The sequence below is a fragment of the Homo sapiens genome, chromosome 11 (genome assembly GCF_000001405.40).
Source record: "Homo sapiens chromosome 11, GRCh38.p14 Primary Assembly".
NCBI lineage: Eukaryota > Metazoa > Chordata > Mammalia > Primates > Hominidae > Homo > Homo sapiens.
In genome coordinates, this window is record NC_000011.10 from 88,360,810 (window position 1) to 88,385,971 (window position 25,162).

The window sequence follows — 25,162 nt, forward strand, 5'->3', positions numbered from 1 at the left end:
GGGCAAAGCCAGCTCGAGCAATAATTGTCAACTTTGAATTCTCACTCTTTCTGCTCCTAGTCAGGGTTTTTCTACTCTCCCTAGCGGTAAATGATTTGCTTCTCCCAGGGAAAAAAAAAAAATTAAATTTAACGTGGGTCTTTAGTGATTGCATTTCAGACTTCCTTTTGAACAAGTACGTATTCTTTACTAATAAAGAAAAAACCCGGCCGGGCGCGGTGGCTCACGCCTGTAATCCTAGCACTTTGGGAGGCGGAGGCGGACGGATCACGAGGTCAGGAGATCGAGACCATCCTGGCTAACACGGTGAAACCCCGTCTCTACTAAAAATACAAAAAATTAGCCAGGCGTGGTGGCGGGCGCCTGTAGTCCCAGCCACTCGGGAGGCTGAGGCAGGAGAATGGTGTGAACCCGGGAGGCGGAGCTTGCAGTGAGCCGAGATCGCGGCACTGCACTCCAGCCTGGGGGACAGAGGGAGACTCCCTCTCGAAAAAAAAAGAAAAGAAAAAAACCCAATAGAAAAATGAACCAGAGATACAAATTAGTCGTTTAAATGAAATAAAATAATTCTGATCAATACTTCAAGATGCATATTAAAATATATATTAATTTTACCTATAAGATTGATAAAAATGTAATAGATTAACCATATCCAGTTTAAATGAAGACGTGTGAAAACAGGCACTTTGCTGTACTATTGATGGGTACAATAATAGAAATAGCATTTCCTGAAGAGGAATTTGTCAATGTTGATCAAAATTTTAAGTTCATGTGATGCTTTGACTCTACAATTCCATGGATAAAAGGTTAATTACAGTTCGGGCGCAGTGGCTCACGCCTGTAATCCCAGCACTTTGGGAGGCCGAGGCGGGTGTATCACCTGAGATCAGGAGTTCAAGACCAGCCTGGCCAACATGGTGAAACCCCGTCTCTACTAAAAATACAAAAATTAGTCAGGCATGGTGACGCATGACTGTAATCCCAGCTACTCGGGAGGCTGAGGCAGGAGAATAGCTTGAACCTAGGAGGCGGAGGTTGCAGTGAGCCGAGATCCTGCCATTATACTGCAGCCTGGACCACAAGAGCGGAACTCTATTAAAAAAAAAATAGTAAAGTAATTATAGCATTCTTATAATCATAAATAGTGAGTAATATGCAAGTGGTTAAGAAAATTAAGGAAAACACATACTATTGGCCGGACACGGTGGCTCACGCCTGTAATCCCAGCACTTTGGGAGGCTGAGGCGGGTGGATCACCTGAGGTTGGGAGTTCAAGACCAGTCTGGCCAGCATGGCAAAAACCCATCTCTACTAAGAATACAAAAATTAGCCAGGTGTGGTGGCGCAGACCTGTAATCCCAGCTACTCAGGAGGCTGAGGCAGGAGAATAGCTTGAACCCAGGAGGCGGAGGTTGCAGTGAGCCGAGATCCTGCCATTATACTCCAGTCTGGGCCAGAAGAGCGGAACTCTATTAAAAAAAAAAAAGGAAAGTAATTATAGCATTCTTATAATCATAAATAGTGAGTAATATGCAAGTGGTTAAGAAAATTAAGGAAAACACATACTATTGGCCAGACATGGTGGCTCACGCCTGTAATCCCAGCACTTTAGGAGGCTGAGGCAGGTGGATCGCCTGAGGTTGGGAGTTCAAGACCAGTCTGGCCAGCATGGCAAAAACCCATCTCTACTAAGAATACAAAAATTAGCCAGGCGTGGTGGCGCACACCTGTAATCCCAGCTACTTGGGAAGCTGAGGCAGGAGAATCGCTTGAACCCAGGAGGCAGAGGTTGCAGTGAGCCAAGATCGCGCCATTGCACTACAGCCTGGGCAACAGAGCAAGACTCCATCTCAAAAAACAAAAACAAAAGCAAAAACAAAAACAAAAACACATACTATGGAATATTTATGGAGTTGTCAAGAAAAGAATAAGAGCTTTAAATACAAACATAGAAGGATGGCCAAAATACATGATGTGCAACAAAAGTTACCTGGTAAGAGAATGTGTGTAATTTTATGTTTGTATATGTATTTTTAAAAAGTCTTAGATAACCAGAAAACTCTTAACAATGGTTGCTTTGAGGTGGGGTAGGAGGGAAGGTACCATGTTTGTAACTCTGTGTTCCAAATGTAACTTTCTCTGATATTCTAGGAGGCTACAATTTTTATTGCCTGCTTTTCATATTGTAAATTCAGCACAGAAAAATTTTAAAGCAAAATTTAAACTCTGTTTAAGAGAACTGTTTTGTTTTTCTATGTTCCTTTTCCCCCACTTCATATATTATTTGACTAATACATCTGTGCCATGCATCCTACTGGACAACTGCAATGCTGCAATGCATAGGCAAGCACACTCTTATACACACACACGTCCCTGGTCTCACAGAGCAAACACCCTCCCCAACCCCAGCCACACTCCCACACTAATGCCTCTGCTCTTACAGAGTTAACAGACTTTATCTGTGTACATATATTTGTTTACATTGCTGTTACATAGAACTTATGCCTACTATTATTTTGTGTAACATAGTATTTTATTATCTGAATTTAGTAATGATTACACTGAATATGCCATCAAAGAGAAGTCTCAAAATATATATAATTATTCCCCTATAGTTGGGCATTTGGGGTATGTACACCTTTCCCCTTTAATGGATCTGTAATCTAGTGAGTTGTTAGTGTCTACACATAAATCGTTGAGGATGCTAAGAAGAAAATTAGGGATGGGATCCCAGAGATGTTTCCTACAAATCCTCTTACCACACAGACAGACCCTAGTGAAGAAACAGCTATGTTAATACCTTCTGCTTCTTGTGTACCTCCTATAAGCCAAACACTTTGCATTTGCATCTCTTTTAATTGTCACAGTAACAGTACAGTACTAGTATCCTTATTTTACCAGTGAGAAAAGAGAATTCAGAAAGATTTTGTAAGGAGGAAATGACTCACCATCACTTCAAAAAGTCTCCTCTTATTAGTGCCTCCTTCAACTCAGGAACTTGATTAATGCTTACATAATCATCACATTTAATCTTCCTACAACTCCAGTCAGATACCTATCCTTATCTCAAATTTATATCTGAGGGAATTCAAAGAAAATAAAATATTAGGTTCATATCAGAGACTCTTCCTATGAGACACTCTTAGCAAGGGTATTGGGCAACATGAAGTGGTGATGCCATCTCACTGTGAGACTCCCACCCCACCCGCAATACAGGGTTGAGGCCTCTGTTGCAGGTTTTTCTTGATTTTCGTTACTGGATAGCCTCAGTCCTTCTTAGGTGAGATCATGCTGTTCTTCTTCCTTCATATATACCTAAGACTACTTTTTCCATTTTGGTTGAAACCAGAGAGATTATAAAAACACAGAATCACAGGCTGCTGAGGCACTTGATGTGAGGAGCACAAAGACAAAGAGGTGGCAAGGTGAGTTTAATGCAGAGGCTGAAAATACATTTATCTTTGACATTGTGTAGTGATAAGATCACCCCTGAAGAGAAGCTTCTGTTCCTTACACAAACACAATCCACCAAAGAGAGTTCAAAACTGCTTCCCTGCAATGTCTGGAATTTTGGCGTTCAACCTATACACATTCATTTATTAAAGAACAGTCTTGTCACTCATTTCAGTTGTGCCTAAAGATAGAGACAGATCCTCAGGCTATTTCACTTCCCCAGAGATAGGAGAGGTTGTGGGCATAAAATTTTAAGTTAAAAGATTTGAGTTAGAATCATGGATCTGCTTGTGATTAGGCTTTGGCAACTTATTACAGCTCTGAACCAGTTTTGTCAAAGCGAACATTAGGTTTTTCAAAAAAAAAAATCATTGTGAAGATTAAATACAGTTATTTAGCATAGGTGGCTATCATCATTCATCATCATCATCATCATCATCATTATTTTACAAGTCAAAAAAACTGTATATCTTCCATCTTGGGTTATGTGGTCCATTCTTTCTAATCCCCATATTTGGAATTACTCTCAGACATTAACTCATTTCTCATTTCCCCCGATTTCCTTGGGGTGTGCCCCAGTTCTCAGGGTCTATTTCTAGCCTTCAGACCCCATTACTTTCCAAGCTGCCAAGTGACATCCTGGGTGACAATGCTTCTGTTGTGCACCATCAGGGCCAATCTGAGCAAACCTCCCTTTCGTGGTACATTGACTTTGGCCAGTACCAAGAAAAGCTTTGGCCAGTACCAAGAAAGCTTCTAAGATTCCAAAAAAAGCTTTTCTGACTCCTGTAACCTAAACCTTTAACCTTCCAACTCTGCGTTTTCAAGCTTTCTCCCAACTTCATTGTCATTCATTTATTTTTGCGCAAAGAGTGATTTGCATGAAAATTTTGGGGGAATTATAACGTGCTATAGAAACATTGAAATTGCTATTATTTCTGTCTTCCAGCCAGCTGCTAGTAAATTCTTAGCATTAAATTATAATCATCAAAACTAAAAGCATGAAAAACCTCATTTACATTTTGATTTATTCTACATTTTTACATCTACAGCATACAGAGGTACCCTTTTTTATGTTTTGGGGGAGAGGGCTTTACAATCTCATCTTTATTGTAAAGCACTTTTTCAAACATGGTAGGACCTAATGCAGTCTGTCTCTCAATTCAGTAAAGCCTTCCTACATAAGGAAAACCAGGAATAAAGTTGGGCTTATTTAAGATGAATTAGATGTATTTAATTCTTTATCAAGAAAAGCAGTTTTATTGGTTTCAATTAATAATCTCAAATTTATTAATCAAGTGTTGACAATCTACAATATTTGGAAAATTGTTTTGATAAAAAGATACATAATTTATAATTTATTATGAGGCATTTCTTTGCAAGCAATTGCTTATTATATGTTCAAACCCTTTTTATGGGTCAAATAATGTCACAGTAATGTTATTTAAATTGTGTTTTGCTCTGCTACCTCATAGATACATTGAGTCAGTTGATAAATATTTGTCTTGCATATTAATAATAAATGTCAAGCAATCCTATGAAACATGAAGAAAGAATATGAACAGCCACTTAACATGAGAAGTAATAGAAATAATCAATAAACACTTTAAGAATGCTTACAGTTTGAATAAGAAGGAAAATTAAAATGAGGCCTTGATAAATGTATCATATTGCTGCTGCAGTGTTGGATCCTGTAGTCCCCGTTATTTGAGAGGCTGAGGTGGGAGGATCACTTGAGCTCAGGAGTTTGAAGCCAGCCTAAGCAACACAGCAAGACTCTGTCTCTAAAAAAAAAAAAAAAAAAAGAAAAAAAAGAAAAAAATTATATTGCCCAAAATGTAAAAGATTCATAAAGATTCATGACACCCAATGTTAACCATAATTTGAGGTAGCACTGTTCAATAGAACTTTCTGTGATGATGGAACTTTCTGTATCTGTGTTGTTAATTATGGTGACCAAAAACTACATGTAGCTAGCTATTGGTCAGTTAAAATATTGCCAGCTAAGTGTGGTGGCTCACAACTGTAATCCTAGCATTTTGGGAGGCCCAGGTGGGAGGACTGCTTAAGGTCAGGAGTGTGAGACCAGCCTGGGCAACACAGTGACCTTATCTCTAAAAAAAAGAAAAAGAAAAAAAATTAGCTAGGTGTGGCAGCAGGCACCTGTAGCTCCAGCTACTCTGAAAGCTGAGGTGGGAGGATCTCTTGAGCCTAGGAGTTTGAGGCTGCAGTGAGCCATGATCACGCCACATCACTACAGAGTCTGGGTGACAGGGCAAGATCCTATATGGAAATAAATAAATAAATATTGCCAATGTTACTAAAAATTGAATTTTTAATTTTTTAAAATTTAAATTTAAATAGCTACATATGGCTAGTGGCTTCTGTGTTGAACAGCACTGGTTTGAGAAAATAGGCAGTTCAATAAACCTTTTATAGTGGTATAAACTTATATACCCCTTTTAGAAAATAATTTGAAAAAATGTATTGAAAAAGCGTGCGTATTTTGACTTAGCAGTACTGACATTGGCAACCTGTAGTACAATAATACTTGAAAGTGTTCAAGAACTCAAATAATAATGTCAGCATAATTTGTGAGAATTAATAATTCGAAACCAATTAAATACCTTAAATAATCATTAATAAAAAAGAAGTTAAATAAATTGTCATATCTTCATACTATGCCATTTTGTACAGATATTTTTAAAAGTATATGTTAGATCTTCCAATACTGACTTGAAAAGCTATCCATGACAGTCTGAGTGAAAAAATAATTATATAGTCAAAGTATACATAGTATGGTAAATCAATTTTCCAAAGGGAAAAATAAAAAGTTTGTGCATGTGTATTTGTCTATTCATAAAGACAAACCCACCAAAGGGTGGGTTTATATACTGAAGTGTTGCTTGTATATTCTGAAAGCATATTTTCTTCTTGAAATTAAAAAATCTATATAAATATGTTAATTTCTTATTTTACACTCACTAGACCTTAGCCAGGATTCAAATTATGCAAAACTTGTATTCTATCTTTTAAGATTTTACAATTTTATAGAAAAATAGACAAAATATTTCATAAACAATTGTGAACATTAGAATGTTGACTACACCAACATAAGAAAGGGAGAGGATACATGACTCTACATTTAATCTCAATTTGGAATGGTGTTGCTAAGGGTAGTTGCAATGTTTGTGCGGAAGTGTGGGTGAATGATAGGTGCAGAATCAGCTGCCTTTCAATGCCAAGATCACGTGGTATTCATTCTGTACGGAGACCCACAGGAGTTGCTAACCAAGTGCAGCCTTTTGCTGATAGGGATCTCTTTTAAGCTTTTCTCAGGTCTTGGATCAAAGGAAGCAATCTTTCTAAACTATAAATTTGATCTCACTTTGTCTTTCTCTTACTTAAAAAAAAAAAAAAAAAAGCTTTAGAAGTCTCCACACTGTTTTCAGAATACTGTCAAGTCCAAACTCCTTAGCTTCTTGTGCCAAGACCTTCACAATCTGTCCCCAGTTTAATTTTTCCACCTTTATTTTGCACTACTTCCCATTCACTTTCCTCTCACAACACGTTACTCATTTTTTCCTGAACTTTGACAAGCACTTTTAAACTTTCATGTCTTTTTTCACACAGTTTTCTCACTAATGCCTTTAATTACACCCCTCTGTCCTTATCTACCTGCTGTACTCAAGGCCTAGCTTAATGTCACCTCTTTGAATCCCTCCTTGATTCCCATAGGCAAAATTAATTTCTCCCATGCCCTCTGTTTTCTGAAAGTCTCAGTAATTACTTCTATCTTAGAAACAATGTTTACACGTCAAATTAAAGTTAATCAAATTAAAGTTAATTATTTGCATTACTCATTATCATTTTTCCCAATTAATGATGAATTGCTGGTATCATGTCTTATTCATCTCTGCATGAAGTAATGCATGTATAACCCGGCAACCTGGCGTCCAATAAGCCCTTGATATATGGAGCTATTATTTTGTTGTTTATATTAGTGGTGCCACCTCAAATGTATATTACAAGACTTGGCATAGCACATACTTTAAAGACTTCTCTGTCAGCTAAACCCTGGTTGAAAACAGTACTGTGACGTTGCTCACCCCTGTGCTTTTGGGAACCCTAAAGTCTTTATCTTCCCTACTTTTAGCATATCATGCTGCTAATTATCTTTATATCTTCATTTAGTTTGTCATTTGTTCCAGAAATACTTATTTAACACCCATTATAAACCAGATAGTTTGCTAGACACTGAGGATATAGAATTAAATAAGATGAAAATTATTTCTGCCTTCCTGAAGCTTATCATCTAGCAGGGAAAATAATAATTAAACACAAGACTATGTAATTAAAATTTCATATCTGTTCTGCAGGAAAATCATAGGGCATTGTGAATAATTATTTTAAAAAGCTCTGACTTCATCATATGGGTTAAAGAAATCTCCTTGAGGAAGTAATATTTAGGCTGATATCCAAATAATGGGCAAAAATTAAGTAGAAAAAAATGACCAGGGATGGTGATGGAGGTGGGAAGATGGGAAAGAATTTCAGACAAAGAGAACTAAACCCAGAAAAGTAGTCAGCATGTTTTATAGAGCCAAGTTGTTCAATAATGAGTATAACTGTAATTCTCAGTGGTACGTAAATCCTGGCCTTTTGCTCAGTATTCCCGGACCTGAAACCTATTTTCAATATTTCCCTTCAAACCTATGCCTGATCCCCATGGACCATGTTCCTACTCAGACTCTTCTTTCTGGTTGCAATGTTCCATCTCTCAGTTTCAAATTTTACCCATCCTTCCAGAGCCAATTCTAATCCTGAGGTTCTATCTTATCCAGCTCACCTGGCAACAATGACACTTTCCTCTCTATCATTTCCATGTCACTTTATTTCCATCTATCTCACTATCTATATCTATATATGCAATTCATATTTGATTTGTCTCTACACCCCCTTCTTGAAAAGAGGTCTGGCAGAATCCCTGTACCAAGTACATATTTAATATATTTTTATTGAATAAAAATGGCTTTTAATGAGTCATGTGTGACACTGATGAAGTAACTAAGAGGGGGCATCAAATGTCTACAGAGTTTAAAAAGCGAAACTATTCAGTCAAACGTTTGTTTAGTTAGAAGTTGAATGTGCATTTATCACATGTATTGTTGGAGGCCAGTTAGCTCAGTTGGTTAGAGTGTGGTGCTAATACCATGTGTAGCATGTAAGGTTGCAAACTTTGCAAACAAGGAAGCATGAGAAAATCGACACAATTCTTGCAACCACAGTTGGAAATCAAGAGCACAGACGTGTAGCCTAGTACTTCAGTGTTTCCCTACTACTACCCCTTCCTCCACACACATATTATGACAAAGACATTTACTTCTATTAGTTTTTAAATAAAAATTCTAAAATTAACCTAGCTCTCTCCCTCTGAGTACCTTCAGAAATCTATGGTTTGTGGAAGCCATGACACTATTTTCTTGTGCAAGGTTAGCATAATTCAGAAGGACAAGTACAGTCTCCTCCTTTAGCTCTGAGGCTGAGAGAGGCATGTATGTCTCTGGGTTATGGGACCAACCTCTTTCTCCTGAGTCTACTTAAAAAGAAATATTGAAAGATCTCACTCTATCATTATCTTCCCCTTGAAGCATCAGTACATCTTCCTTCTGACATGAAACTTTATTTTTCTTTGGGCAAATTGAGGGACTCACATCTCTCTTAATTTCAAACCTTTGGGATAAGATAGCTATGTTGTCCAGAGCTCTGGGTTGGTCAATAATGATCTTGGAGAGTAAGGACTTAGTGTTTTCAAAATTTGGTGTCTGCAGAGGTTCCTTTGCTGTACATTGAGAAAAAACCCTAATCTATGGTCACAGAATGAACTGCTAACCTTGGCTGGGCATCTTATAAATGTGGGCCTTTGGTCATAAGTGTGCAAAACAGGAAAACTATTGATCATGTATCAGTGGCCCCTTTTTTACCTGGAAAGGATATACAGTGTGTAGAATTTTTAAAATGGGGAAGAATTTCTTCCCCAACTCCACCACAACCTGTCGTAGGAAATTCTATGCCAAGGTGTTTTCATCTCTCTTTAAGTACAGTAAAATAAAAAAATTTAAAATGAAAATAATGCGAATGGGCCAGGCATGGTGGCTCATGCCTGTAATCTCAGGACTTGGAAAGGCTGAGGCTGATAGATCACTTGAGGTCAGGAGTTCAAGACCCGCCTGGTCAACATGGTGAAAACCCATCTCTACTAAAAATACAAAAAATTAGCCACGTGTGGTGGCACAAACCTGTCATCCCAGCTACTCGGGAGGCTGAGGCAGGAGAATTGCTTGAACCTGGGAGGCAGAGGTTGCAGTGAGCCAAGATTGTGCCACTGCCCTCCAGCCTGGGTAACAGAGCAAGACTCTGTAAAAAAAAAAAAAAAAAAAAAAAAAAAGAAAGAAAGAGAGAGAGAGAGAAAGAGAATGAACGAACATAATGTGGATGGAGCAAAAATGATTGAAGTAATTCTATTGAACTCTTCAAATTACACTGACAGCTACTGGTTAAAGAACCCAATTGATTAATATTGATTCCTTAAGGATTCAGTCAGCTGAATCATAGGAGTACATAAAAAAGAAATTTTCTCAACAGAGGAAACTTCACTTGATCATGAGAACAGGAAATATGTTAGTCTCAGGTTCAGATTGCACCAAATGGTTTATATTCTCATCGAAACTGACTCTGAACCAGCTAGCTTTGCTCTCTCCTGCCTCCAAGTTCTTTTTCTTTGCAGGATTAGGCACATTTGCTTTTCTGATTCTGCAGCTTTTTCTAAACCAGAGGCAAGAATAATCTCAGTGCCAGATAAAGGAGATATAATTTCAGTGTAATGTCGCTCTGTTCTTTTTTATTTTCCAAGAATGTTATGCACATTGTCAAATGTGACTGAAATGTGAGGGTTGCTCATATTTTACTGGTGTTTTTCTAGAGATGGAGGCTTGGAGGAAGAAGAGTCTGTAATCCATAGCACCCTGAGAAAACATCTCTTCTCTTGTCTGTCTTCTCTCTAGCTACACGTGCCTTCAGAGCAGGGAATTTAGTAACTCTCACTACTACATCTCCAACACCTCTCTTATAGTCTAGAATGACAGTGAATGTCTCTGGAATAAAAAAAAAAACTTTGCAGAATAGGAAGATTAGTTTAGAAACCTGGAGAAGTTTTGCAAGATTAAAAAAAAAAAAAAAGACCTCAAGGGGACATGAATGCCATCCATTAGTTTCTTAAGACTACACAATTGGACGTGAAAAAAAGACTTCTCAGTGTTATAGACAGCAGAGAGCAAAGTCCAGAGTCAGAACCCACAAGTTTGTGGAAAAAAATATTTCTCCTCCAAAGGTCTAGTGCTTTTAAAAATTATCTTGAAGACTCGTGTAGTAGCTACATCTGCTAATGTGAGTTGAGTATTTTCAGAAGATTAAAAGGAAGTTGGCATTAAATTGTGATTACTATCATTCCTTTTCAAGTACACAGGTTATGCCATGCATTTTATGACACCGCAGGCTCATTTGCCCTGTGAACCTCTCTCTAACCTCCTCTCCAGTTGAGAATAACTAATTATTCTGCATTAGGAGAGTACTTTGTACATCTCTTGGCATAGCACTGCCACACTGAAACATATTTTATTTGCACCAGATTGACAGCCTTCATGAAAAAGGAAATAAACAAAAACTAAGGATTGAGTTACTATGTCAGACACAGTACTGGATTTTCTTTAGCATTCTGTACTTTTCTTTATTGTTAGACTAGCTTGAGGACATTGGTATTATTTTCCCCATTTTTCAGATTAAAAAAAACAAACTAAAGAGAGATGAACAGAAACTGACCATATGCCACACGTATAGTAAGCGCTGTTCCCAAGATTAGAACCCAGATCTGACTGAGAAGAGATCTCAAGCCCATTTAACTCCACCACACTTAAAGGCAGAGGAGCATAGTAGCATTGGTTCTAGAATCAGATTGCCTGGGTTTGTATCTCAACTTTGTCTCTCACAGACTACCTAATTTTTATGAATCTCTACTGTGGTTAAATGTACTATAAATGAAAAAAGTAATAAGTACACAACACATAGGATTGTTGTGAGGATTAAGTAAAGCAATACTTATTAATCATTTAGAAGGGTTCCTGAGACATGGTAAGTGTTGAGTAAAGGTTAACTATTTTTGAGAACAGATAATAGATCATTTTCTTTTGTATCGATAGAACTTAGCATGGTCCATAATTCGATGTTAGGCAGTTAGTAAAGCTTGAAATAATGATTGCGGATTTTAACTATATGTTGATGAAGAGGCAGAATTAAGAAAACGTACTAGAGTTTTCTGGAAAATATTTCATAGTTCATACAATTCAGGAAATGTAGTGTGGGGTACCCTTATTACTCGTGGATACTCCCACAGTCGTTTTTCACCTGTATTTTTTCAAAGCGCAAGCTTTTGAATGTCAGTTAATAAATGTGGAAATGATAATGAAATTAGAAAAATGTGTGACCTTAATCACAATGATTTTCAGGCAAGAATTACCAACTGATGCTAAAATTGGTAGATGAGGATGTCCATTTCTGCTTAAGATGTAGAATGTGACAAGAGAATGTCTTTCCCTTCTTAACAATGAGAAAAAGTTAGAAAATCTACAAAATCATAAAAAATTTTTTGAAATCATAAGAGAGCTGACATTGCAAGGCAAACCAACTGAATTCCAATGAATGGCATACTACTCTGAAAAGGGATGGGACAAAAGAACTATTTCATTTCTGACAGAACATAAGAGGAAAAAATATTGCTGTCCTAAAAGCAGGTACAATGTTAAAAATCAGTTACAATGTTACCAAATTCTTTAAAGCAATGTGTAGGATAGCTTATTCATGACCATGAGAACCTAAACACAAAAGGAGTTGATCCTAACTCACATGTTCTTTTCCACAGGCTTCCAGAGGTGTTCATGCAGAAGACTGGATGCAGGACCCTTGGTGGCACCAGTGTGCAGATGAGCAGATAGTGACTGATTGCCACTGGGGTAAGTTGGAAATTACCACTCACTTCTCTGGATTCATGTCTCAAATAAAACAAATTACTAAGCCACTGAGAAAGAGGCAACAACCCCTCCAACATTAAGGGCCAGAAAAAGGTCCTCTGCTTATATGAAAGTGATAACATAAAAGGTAGGAAAACCTTCTTTCTCCAGGACCCAGAAAAAGACCCATTCCTTCTGGGAGAAGGGTAGAATTAAAATATCTCTACCTCTTGGAAATTTGAAAGAAAACTTTTGGGCCCAGGTTCCTGGACTGATACAAAGCAGAGGTCTGCTACAACTGGAGTATGGGCAGGATCCAGGGGGAAAAGGGGAGCAGGAATGCTGAAAAGCCAAAGCTTCAAGGCCCGGGTGTATAGGATCTGCCTAAGACTGAGACTGGGTCATTAGAGCCAAGAATCTCATCTTCTCTCCAAGAGCTTCAAACTGAGTAACCAGCAATAATAGTCTACCAACTGGGACCAGGACAAAGGATGGTAAGAGATTCTCTCTGTGGTAGAGAATGGCTGAAAGCAGGGGATGGATCAGCAATACTGAAAAAAACGTTCTGGTACCCAAGGAACCACTCTAAGCACAATGTACATATTCTATCACTGGAGGAATTGGAAGTGTGTGGTACACTTCAGGTAACAATAGCAAAAACAATTACCAAATCTAGTCTAACTACTAACTAGATTGACTCAACTCAGAAGTAGAGGTACACACATTTCCAAGAGTAAATACTATTTACTTTTGTATCTGCTGTTTTTCCACATACAATTACCAGTATTTAGTAACAATTATGTTCTGTACCCACAAAAGCAAGAAAGAATGACCCCATTGTCAAGAATAAGAAGCAAGAATCCCAGCACTCTGGGAGGCCAAGGCGGGCGGATCATGAGGTCCGGAGATCAAGACCATCTTGGCTAACATGGTGAAACCCCGTCTCTACTAAAAAATACAAAAAATTAGCCGGGCGTGGTGGCAGGTGCCTGTAGTCCCAGCTACTCGGGAGGCTGAGGCAAGAGAATGGTGTGAACCTGGGAGGCGGAGCTTGCAGTGAGCCAATATAGCACCACTGTACTCCAGCCTGGGTGACAGAGTGAGACTCCATCTCAAAAAACAAACAAACAAACAAACAAAAAAAAAAAAAAGAAGCAAGAAAAATCAGATTCAGAGTTGAGTCTGATAGCTGAAACTATAGTTGAAACTCTCCGACTGGAACATTTAAATAACTATGATTAATATAATAAAGGACCTAAAGAAAAAGGAGAATGACATGCACAAAGAGATGAATTTCAGCATAGAGATAGAAACAATAAATATAATCAAGTGGAATTGCTAGAAATTAAAAAAAGATAAGGGAAATAACATTGAATATTTATAATCAGACTGCATGCAGCTGAGAAAAAAAGTAAACTGGAAGATGTCCATAGAAATTATTCAAACTGAAACATAAAAATAAAAAAGATTGATAAGGCCAGTATACAAAAATGCATGGTAATTTTACATACTAGCAAGGATAATTTAGAAATTATTATTATTTTCCTTTTGTTATGGGAGATGAGATGCTATTTCTTTGAAGGCCCCTTCTCTTCTTTAGCTCTTGATTCCACTCTTTTATATTTTCACGAATCCTCTAATCTTCGTGTGTTTCTGTCTCTCTCATCAGCTATTTTACTCTTTATTAAATTATTTGCTTTATCATTTAGACTCTCTAGTAGTTATATAAAAAGAAGCACAAATAAACCTCTTTGACTCCCTGTCTCTCCGCCACCTGCCACCCACCTCACTCCCTCCTCAACATACACCTACCCTGGTCTTTGTTCCCATTACTACCCTCAATCAGCTCTAGTCAAGAGAACAAGTATAGTGGTTACTTCTCTACCATTGACTTAGCCTATTAAGAACTCTTGACCAGCAGTCACTCCTGCTTTCTTGAAACATTTATTTATTCTGCCTTCCTTAACACCGCACATTTCTTTTTCTGCCTCACTGAGACCTCATTCTGTCTCCTTTTCTGGCTTAAATTATCGTATTCAATGTCTAACTGTTGATGTACTTTAGGGTTGAGTCTCAGATTCTTTCTGTTGCCTTCTTACATTTTTTCCTATAGAAAAGATCCTCCAGTAATAGGGTTTTAAGTACTACTTGTATGCTGATGTCTTCCAAATTTCCATCTGGACATCTTTTGTGAGCTCCAGCCTTGCATACACAACTAAATTCATGACATTTTCACTTTGAATATCAATAGGCATTTCAAATTTATCATTTCCAAAAAAGAACTGTTAACTCTCATCCACCTTCAGCAAATCTATTTCTCCCATAAACTCCCTCATCTCAGTAGAAGATACCATTATCTGCTCAGTTGCTCAAGCCAAAAACTTAGGAGTTGTTTTTGATTGCTTTCTTCTGCTCACTTCCCATGCCCAATGCAGCAGCAAGTGACATCATTTGTACCTCTCAAGTATATTCTGAATCTTTCCTTTTGCAGCATGTCTATGTGCATCCAAGCCATTTGGATTATCATATTAGCATCCTAACTGGTCTTTGTGCTTCAACTCCTGCTTTTCTAAACTCCATCCTCACAGAGCAGCCAATGTACTTTTAAATATATATATATGTGTGTGTGTTATATATATGTGTGCGTGTATAGGTATATATGTATTATATATATGTGTGTGTGTATATGTATATATATACACATATAATACACATACACATATATATATACACATACATATATTTTACATATATATATATATTTCCTACCGTGGTCTATATGGCTTCTGACCACCTCTCTGATCATAACTTCTTTCACTTTTCCTCTTACTCACTGTTTTTCAACAACACTGTGTTTTTTTCTTGAACAGAAAGAGAACTTGCTCCTGCTAGTTCCTTTTCATTCATATGGAAGCCTAAGCATTTTATCCCCAGGAGGGCTTCCCTGACTATTGTAGTTAGCATCCTACTGCTTCATTAATACAGTTCTAGCTATTCTCCATATTCTTATGAGGAGGTGAGTAGAGACAGCAAGATGGGCATGGGAAAAAAGCTAACAAAATATTGTCTCAGATTGAGACTAGCTTCATTCTAATTTCACAGAATCTCTGGAGAAAAGTCTGCTACAGTGTAAATATCCCCTTGGAGTAAGGCAGTGGCCTTTGGTACTCCTCCATCAGTCATTTTTTTTTTTGGGTTTTTTTTTTTTTTTGCCAAGGTCCAAGGGATGGACAGTGAGGTTAGCTGACCTCCTGAGCAACGAGGCTGCCATTGACCAAGGACAGTTCTTTACAGAAGGGAGAAACTGTGGGTGGTAGACAACACTGCTACTTCCAGCAACTGGAGGGGTCAGGGCAGTGGGTAGCAAAGAGAATATTGGCAGGACATCAACAGCCTCTATTATACAATGTTCATCTTTGGGGTTTGTTCAGCTTTTTAAATATGTAGGTTTGTGTCTTTTGCCACATTTGGGACATTTTTAGCCATTATTTCTTTGAGTATTTTTTAGCCTATCTTTTTTTAACTTTTTTATTGTGGCCAACTTAGTCTAATATAGCTACCATTTTTTCCCCTCTTCTTTTGAACTGAATTAAATTTTAGGTGGAAAGATGGGTATAGGATTTGAATAACATAGTTTCAAAAATTCTTTTTAATTCTAAAATTTTATAATTTTGTAATTGTAACAATATCATCTAAGTTTATTCATGGTAATTAATCATAATACTGACACAGATTTTATTTCACTTTTCTAAGCATTTGATTTACATTATGATACATAGTCAAGTAGTGAGACTTGATTATGCTTTTCAGAATTCATTAGATCTGTAGAAATTATATCCAGGTCTGCAATCACACTGACCCACCCTCAATCATCTTGTTTACATTCTATTCTACCCTAGTCAACTCTAGCTGTAATAAGCCTACTGGAACTTTAACATCGCATCTTCTGCGATTGCTTTCCTTACCATTGTAAGCTAAAATTACTCCTCTCTTTACTCTAGAAAATGATAGTACTTAGCACATTACACAATGATGTCATTAATTTTGTATAGCTAAGGATGATCTCAGTGCCCAAGATTTTCTAGTAGTTAAATATTTTCTCATCTCAAACACATTCAGAGTTCCTTCTGACTTTTACAAGTCTTACCCCCATTAAACTCATTTAAATCTACAAAAAAACTGGAAAATAAAGACAAAATCTATTTATCTTCTCATTATTTTCCCTTTCATTTCTGTCAGCTCTGGAAATAAACTGGTTTTGCCTTTACATCTAATTTTTTTAATTTTATGCAGGCTGAAAAGGAATTTATTTGTTCAAGCAAATAATGTCATCAACTTATAATGAAAGAATGTATACTGTTTTCAACTGGCTGGAGATTGATATTCCTATTTAGAAAAACACTTACTATAGCATGACAATAAGATGTATGGAAAATAAAAGTCTAAATAAATTGCTTGGAACAAATAGACTTGGAACAAAAGCAAAGGTTGTTGGCTCAGATTGCTGGGCAATACATGAGACCAATGTTTCACAAACTCTGTGTTTCTCCAGCTGTTAATAGATTTCCCCTGAAATGAACAGTTAATTTCCTGGTCAAATACATTGGAGGAAATGCTGTATAGTGTGATTTAAAAGATAAATTAACCATTTAAAAATGTTCAGAAGTCCTACTGAAAAGAAATCCATTATTCTTAAACACTTATGCAAACATCTCTCAGTTCACTAATAATTTCAGATCAGCCAGGAAACTTTTGACTTGGACTATTATACAGTTATTCCCAAGTATATGTTCTCTTGTATTAGTTGATTCTGTCAGTCAGTGTTTGGTTGCAGAGTACTGACTCTACTGTAGATAATTCTAGGAGAAATAAATTATAAATGTGTGCTAAATGGCTAACAGAATTTGGGGAATAAATGAAATAACAGACTTTTAGGCAGAACTTCCAAAAATCACTTGGAAAACCACATAACAGAACTGTGTCTCTAAGGGTTTTTCTCTTTCCATCATAATCAGGAATCTGATTATTGAATTGAGAAGCTGCTGCTACAGAAAGTTCCATACCCTCTCTGTTTTGTTGTGACCCACACCAGCAAAATAGAGGTCTCACACCTGGCCTTTCTATGTACTTAAAACAATTTAAATTCAGATTTCACTCTTGTGCATCTGATTGGTGAAACATAAACATATCCAGAATCTCAGCTTCAAGGGAATCTGGATAATGTGATTTTCAGCTTTCCAGCCTCTGCTTCACAGTATCCTATACACCATAATCGTTTTGTCCCAACATATACTGTATTGCAAGATGCTAAGGTTTCTGATGATGCAATGGGATGAAATAATAATTCTAAAAATTCTGGCCAGGAATGATGGCTCACGCCTGTAATCCCAGTACTTTGAGAGGCCAAGGCAGATGGATCACTTGAGCTGAGGAGTTCAAGACCAGCCTGAGCAAAAGGTGAAACCCCGTCTAAAAAAATACAGAAAAGAATAGCTGAGTGTAGTAGCATCCATCTGTAGTCCCAGCTACTGGAGGGCTGAGGCGATAGGATGGCCTGATCCTGGGAGATTGAGACTGAAGTGAGCTGTGATCACACCACTGCATTGTAGCCTGTCCAGCCTTGGTGACAGAGCAAGACCCTTTCTCAAAAAAAAAAAAAAAAAAAAAAAGGAAAAAAATCTAAATAAAGCTAGTTTCATAAAGTTTCATGAAGCCAGAGATTTATTATATGAGCCTAATTTAATGTTTGTAATAAAATGGGTACTCAAAAAACAGTGTCATTTAATGAATAAATGCATGAGATTATAGGATCACCCTGCCAACCCTGTTGTTTTCCTGAAGATGAAACAGAACTCTAAAGAGGTGAAATGACCTGCTTACATTCTCCACAGTGGAATCCATCCAAGGTCTGTTATCTTAAGTGTGTTCTCATTTTATTGTTCCATATTCTCATATTGTAATACAGTGTTTTGCCTTTTAAAAAAGATTACAAGGTGAAAGCAATGCGTAATTGTGTAATCGAAAGGAATAAAATTAAATAGAATTAACATACTAACGAGCAGTTAAAATATGCAGAATGCTATGCTAAGTATTGTAGGAAACATAAATACAATATAAATTCTTATCCTTCTAAATCATCAACAACATTAAATTCTAATAATGGACTTTCTTTCTCTATACTACCATACAGAATGTTAGAGCAACACTACACATGTAATTCCTGTAGCCAATTTTATTTACATGCTCCTAAACTTGAAGCCCACTGCTTTATGCTTCTGTTAAATAGCTTTCTTTATTATTTTAATGTTTAAAAATCTTTTGCTAATTTTACATTTACTAGTATTTTCTTCCTTAACATTATTCTCTGTAGTTATTGGCAAATGACATAAGGAAGGTTCTTACATTCATCTATATTTAGCCTTATGTAACATGGAGAGATTTTCTGTAAATTGTAATTCCATCTGTTTAAGAAGATTTCTGTTAATACCTGTATTAGTCTCCCATAATAAAATATCATAGATGGGTGGTTTAAACAACAAAAATTTATTTCTTACAGTTCTGTAGGGTGGGAAGTCCAAGATTAAGGTGCTGGCAAGGTAGGTTTCATTCTGTGGCCTCTTCTTTTGGCTTGTAGGTGATGACCATCTGGCTGTGTGCCCTCATGACTTCTTTGTGTGCATAGAGGAAACTAGATAACATTCGTAGGACTAAACAGTACCTGTGTTGCTATTGCTTCACAGTAGCAATAAGGTTTATAGTATGTATCTTTATCATGATTAATCTTTAAATGTTGTTTTTGTACTTCACATATAATGAAAGAAATTTACAGCAGAATATTTTCATATAGTTTCTCTAATACTTTGTGGTACTGTTATAAATGTTTATTATAATCTTCAGAACAGCTGCTAAGAAACTTAAAGTTATAGCTAATGAACTAATAATGGAGATAATATGAATATCATACTACCTTATATGTAGAAAATCATAAAGACCACCAAAAACTGTTAAAGCCGATAAATGAATTCAGTAAAGTTGCAGAATACAGAATTAACCTAAAAAACTCAGTAACATTTTTAGGCAGTAACAATGAACTATCCACAAAGAAAATTAGGAAAACTATCTCATTTATGATAGCATCAAAAAGACTAAAACAATTAGGAATAAACTTAACCAAGGAAGTGAAAGACTTACACACAGAAAACAACAAAGTATTAATGAAAGAGATTAAAGGCACAAACAAATGGGAACATATCCCATGTTTATGGATTGGAAGACTTAATATTGTTAAAATGCCCATTCTACCCAAAGCAATCTGTAGATTTCATGCTATTGCCATCAAAATCCCAATGGCATTTGTTAGAGAAATAGAGAAAACAATTTTAAAATTCATATGGAACCACAAAAGACCCAGAATAGCCAAAGCACCCTGGAGTAGAAAGAATAAAGCTAGAGTTATCATACTTCCTGATTTCAAAATATATTACACAACTACAGTAATTAAAACTCTATGGTACTGACATACAGACAGTTATATAAGACCAATTGAACAGAATATAGAGCCAAGAATTAAACCGACACGTATGTGGTTAACAGATATTTGAAAGAGTACCAATAATACACAATGGAGAAAAAATAGTCTTCTTAACAAATTGTGTTGGGAAAACTGGGTGTCAACAAGCAAAATAATGAAATAGGCTTTCTATCTTACACTGTACACAGAAATAAACTAAAAATGGAGTAAAGACTTAAATGTAAGATCTGAAACTGTGTAACTCCTGAAAGAAAACACAGGGAGAAATCTCCATGACATTGGTCCTGACAATGATTCCTGGCTATGACACCAAAAGCACAAGAAATAAAAGCAAAAATAGACAAGTGAGACTATATGAAACAAAAGGTTGTCTGCACAAGAAAGGAAACAATCAACAGAGTAAAGAGGTGACCTACAGAATGAGAGAAAATATTTGCAAGCCATGTATAAGGAGTTAGTATATAAAATATACAAGGAACTACTATAACTCAATAGCAAAAAAGTATGACTTAATTAAAATATGGTCAAAAACCTGAATAGATACTTTTTCTGATAGAGGCATACAAATAAAAGGTCAGCAGTTATCTGAATAGATGCTCAGCATCACTGACAACCAAGGAAATACAAATCAAACTGAAGTGAGATATCACCTCATACCACCAAACAAACAAAAGTTGAATTTTGGTGAGAAGGTATAATACTTGGAACCTTTTTACACTGTTGGTGAGAAAGTAAAATAATGCAGCTGCTATGGGACACAGTAGGGAGGTTCTTCAAAAAATTGAAAATAAAACTATCACATAATTTAGCAATCCTACTTCTGGGAATATACTCTAAAGAATTGAAATAAGGATCTCTAAGGGATATTTGTACTCCTGTATTTATTACATCACTCACAATGGCTAAATTATGGAAGCAACTGAAATACCTATTGAAAGATGAATGGATAGAAAACAATTGTGATTTTTTTTGCATACAGTAGAATATTATTAAGCCTTAAAAAAAAAGGAAATTCTGCCATTTGCCACAACATGGATGACCTTGAAGGACATTATGCTAAGTGAAATAAGCTAGTCACAGAAAGATAAATACTACATGATTTCACTTATATGAGGTATCTAAAATAGTCAAACTCAAAAACAGGTAGTAGAATAGTGGTTACCAAGGAGCAGGGGGACAGGGAGTTGTGGACTTGTTGTTCAATTGATATAAGGCTTTTGTTATGCAAGATGAATTAGTTCTAGAGATCTGCACTATAGAATAATAGTTATAGTTAACAATACTATATTATGCACTGAAAAATTGTTGAGGGCAAATTTTATGTTAAGTGTTTTTATCACAAAAAGGAAACCCACAACCAAACAATAAAACAATGGGACATAGGAAACTTTTGGAAATGGTGGATATGTGCATTACATTGATTGTGATGATGGTTTCATGAGCATATGCTATGTCAAAACTCATAAACTGTATACATTAAATATATACATTTTATTGTATATCAGTTATACCTCAATAATGCTATCTAAAATAAACTAACAAAAGAAGAACAAATTAAACCCAAAGTAAGAAATGGAAACAAATAATAAAGACAAGAAAATAAATGAATAAAATTAAATTGGAAAACCAATAGAAAAAACTAGTGAAACCAACAACTGCTTCTTGTCAAAATTCAATACATTTGGTAAATCTCTAACAGCAGGAGTTAGCACATTTTACTAATATCAGAAATGAAAGGACAGGAGGAAGCATAAATATATATTGTTCTAAATTTAACAGAATATAAGAAAATATTTTGAACAGCTTTATGTCAAAAACTTCACCACATAGATTAAGTGAACAAATTCTTTAAAAGAACGAAGTAACAAATTTCACCAGGAATAAATAAATAACCCATATATCCTTGTATCTACTTTACTTAGTTTATTTTTATCTTAAAGGTATGTTGAATTTTGTCAATTGTTATTTCTGCATTTAATGAAATAATCTTATGGCTTTTCTTATTCAGTCCAGTAATAGTATAGAAATTTACTGGTTGATTGATTTCAAATAGTAAACAAAACTTGAATTTTTTTTTTTTTTCTTTTTTGAGTTGGAGTCTCACTCTGTCATTCTGGCTTGAGTGCAGTATTGCCATCTGGGCTCACTGCAACCTCTGCTTCCTGGTTCTCCTGCCTTAGCCTCCTGAGTAGCTGGGATTACAGGGATGCACCACCATGCCTGGCTAATTTTTGTATTTTTAGTAGAGATAGGGTTTCACCATGTTGGCCAGGCTGATCTCCAACTCGTGACCTCAGGTGATCCACTGGCCTCAGCCTCCCAAAGTGCTGGGATTACAGGTGTGAGCCACTACGCCAGGCCCCAAACCTTGAATTCTATAGTAATCCCTTATTTGTTCATGATATATTTTCCTTTCTTAAAATACATTTCTGATTTGACTTGCTCATTTTTTTAAATTATTAATATTAATCTTTTTTTAAGAGTATCTTGTTTTGCTGCTAGAACAATGCTGGCCTCAAAAAATAAATGAGATGTGTTATCTGATATACTAATTTCAGAGTTTCAGGATAAATATGAAGAAAAACTCTAGCTCTTCACGGTCAAATGATTAAGAAAACAAAGGTAAAGGGAAAATCTTGAAGTCAATCAAAGAGAAAAGAAACAATTTCTACCAGGAAGCAGATATGAAATAGCAGACTTGGCTTCTGAAACGAGGCCAGACAGAAGACAATAAAGTTGCTTATTTGACATATGGAAAGCAAACACAGAAACAGCAACTCACCACCTACAATGATGCCCTGTGAAAACATCTTGCAAATAAGAAAGCAATGTGCTTCTCAGACGACAAAAACTGAGATAAATTATTGCCAGCCAATTTGCATGAAAAGAGATGTTACAGCAAGATCTGGCAAACTGAGCATGATATCAGATGAACTTCTGAAGGAAAACACACAGACACACTCATGTACATGCATAGACACACTCATGCACATGCATAGACACACAAAGGCATTTGGACACAGTAATAATGTGGGTAAATATAACAGACTTTAGTTTTTTATATGTCTTTAAAATATAATTGCCTTTAAAATATAATTTACAATGTGGGTGTATAGAACAGATTTAATATTTGTAAATATCTTTAATATATAATTGAAATCTCTTTAAAATAAATTTGTCCTGCTGCTTAGGTTTCTCTGAAGCTTCAGGAACTCTGGTTTATTATCTTTCATTATATTTGAAAAAGTCTTGGCCTTTATCTCTTCAAATATTTCTTCTGCTTCATTCTTTCTTCTCCTCCTGAGATTCCAAGTATGTGTATATTAAATGATTTTGTCTGGTTTCGCAACTCTTCCATGCTTCTGTTTGCCTTTTAGCTCTTTTTTTCCTCTTTGTGTTTTAATTATCTTCAAGTTATTGCTGCTTTCCATTTCTCTGACTATTCTGCTGAAAAGCCTGTTGAAGTAATTCTTCATTTCTGATATTGTGTTTTTATTTTCAGCATTTCCATTTGATTCTTTTTAAACTTTCCTCCTTCCTTCTGAATATCTCCCATCTTTTCATGCATGGATTCACCTTTTCCACTACCCGATTCCTTCAGCGTATTAGTCATTGTTATTTTAAGCTCCCTGTCTGACTGTCAACCTCTGAGGTGTCTCCATGTCTGCTTCTCTTCATTTCTTTTCTTTCTTGAGCATATGTCCTTTTACTTGCTTTATGTGTTCCATAATGTTTAGATAAATGTCAGACATTGTTAGTAAAAGGAAGAAATTGAAACTAGATGAATAAAACTGAGACGAGGTGACTAAAATTTATGCCTGGAAGTTTTCAGTTTTTTCTTCTATCAGGCAATTTGAAGGGAAGGGTTGAGTAAATCTAGTCTGTTGCTGAGCTGGTTTTGGGCTTTTCGGTTGCTAGGTTCCTTCTGTGTACCACAGACTTCAAATTCCTTTAGTGCAAACCACCACTATCTTGTGCTTAATGCATGGCCCAGAGTGCTAGAGGCTTTCTCCTAGAATTCCTGTTCCACCGTTGGCTTTCTGTAGGCCTGCACTCCTAAACCACATTGGTGGTTTCTCTCTGTGCCCTTGCCCTTCCCTTAGTGATAGGCTGGTGATGTTTGTTACTGAGAGTAAGGCGGGAGCAGAATTTTCTTGGCTCTCCTGCTGCAGCCTCAAACTTACATAGTCCCTGTCCTAGTCCCTGTCCACAGAAGCCTCAGCATTCCTTTCTATTCCCAAGTGGCAGCCAATCCCCACCTTATACTCATGCAGGGCCTAGAGTACAAAATGGGCTTCTCCAAGTGCTCCTCCTCCACCCACACACCTAGCCAGGCGCAGCATCCCATGTCACTAATGCAGCTCTTTCAGGTCTCTGTCCCCGTCCCCACCTTTCTCATGAACACGTGATGGATGCACATGGAAAACAACTAGTGAGGCCAGGTGCAGTGGCTCATGCCTGTAATTCCAGCACTTTGGGAGGCTGAGGCAGGTGGATCACCTGAGGTCAGAAGTTCCAGACCAGCCTGACCAACATGGAGAAAGTCGGTCTCTACTGAAAATACAAAATTAGCCTGGCATGGTGGCACATGCCTCTAATCCCAGCTGCTTGGGAGGCTGAGGTGGAAGAATTGCTTGAACCGAGGAGGTGGAGGTTACAGTGGGCCCAGATTGTGCCATTGCACTCCAGTCTGGGCAACAAGAGCAAAATTCTGTCTCAAAAAACAAAAAACAAAAAACAAAAACAAAAACAAAAAAAACAAACTAGTGAGGGCTACTCTGGGCACACTGCCTGTGGGGTATCCCTGCTCTGCAAGGGGCAGTGAAACAAACAAACCAGTGAGAAAGAATGGGCTTCCCATGTATCTAGGACTCCCAGGGTATTAAATTCACACTGATCTACATCTAGCTTTTAGAAATTCATTAAAATATCAGTTGTATTCTTCTAACTGCTTTTATGATGATCATCTCTTCCTTCTGTGTGCTCCCAAATGTAACATATTTCATGTGTCCCATCTCTCATCAGGAACCCATCACTCCTTAGGATTCCATTTCCTTGATTGCTTTGTGATCTCAGTTCTCTGATTGGCTCAAATACAATTACAATTTGTAGACTT

General features: G+C 36.7%; 1 long non-coding RNA gene across 4 annotated transcripts in view; it reads left to right on the forward strand.

Annotated features, from left to right (window-relative positions):
• The window catches only part of LOC101929174 (uncharacterized), a 90,309-nt gene that overhangs the window by 22,926 nt on the left and 42,221 nt on the right, over positions 1-25,162 (forward strand). For all 4 annotated transcript variants that reach the window (NR_188508.1, NR_188511.1, NR_188510.1 and 1 more), the window contains exon 2: positions 12,428-12,518. This is a non-coding gene — a long non-coding RNA (uncharacterized LOC101929174). The remainder of the gene's footprint in view (positions 1-12,427; positions 12,519-25,162) is intronic.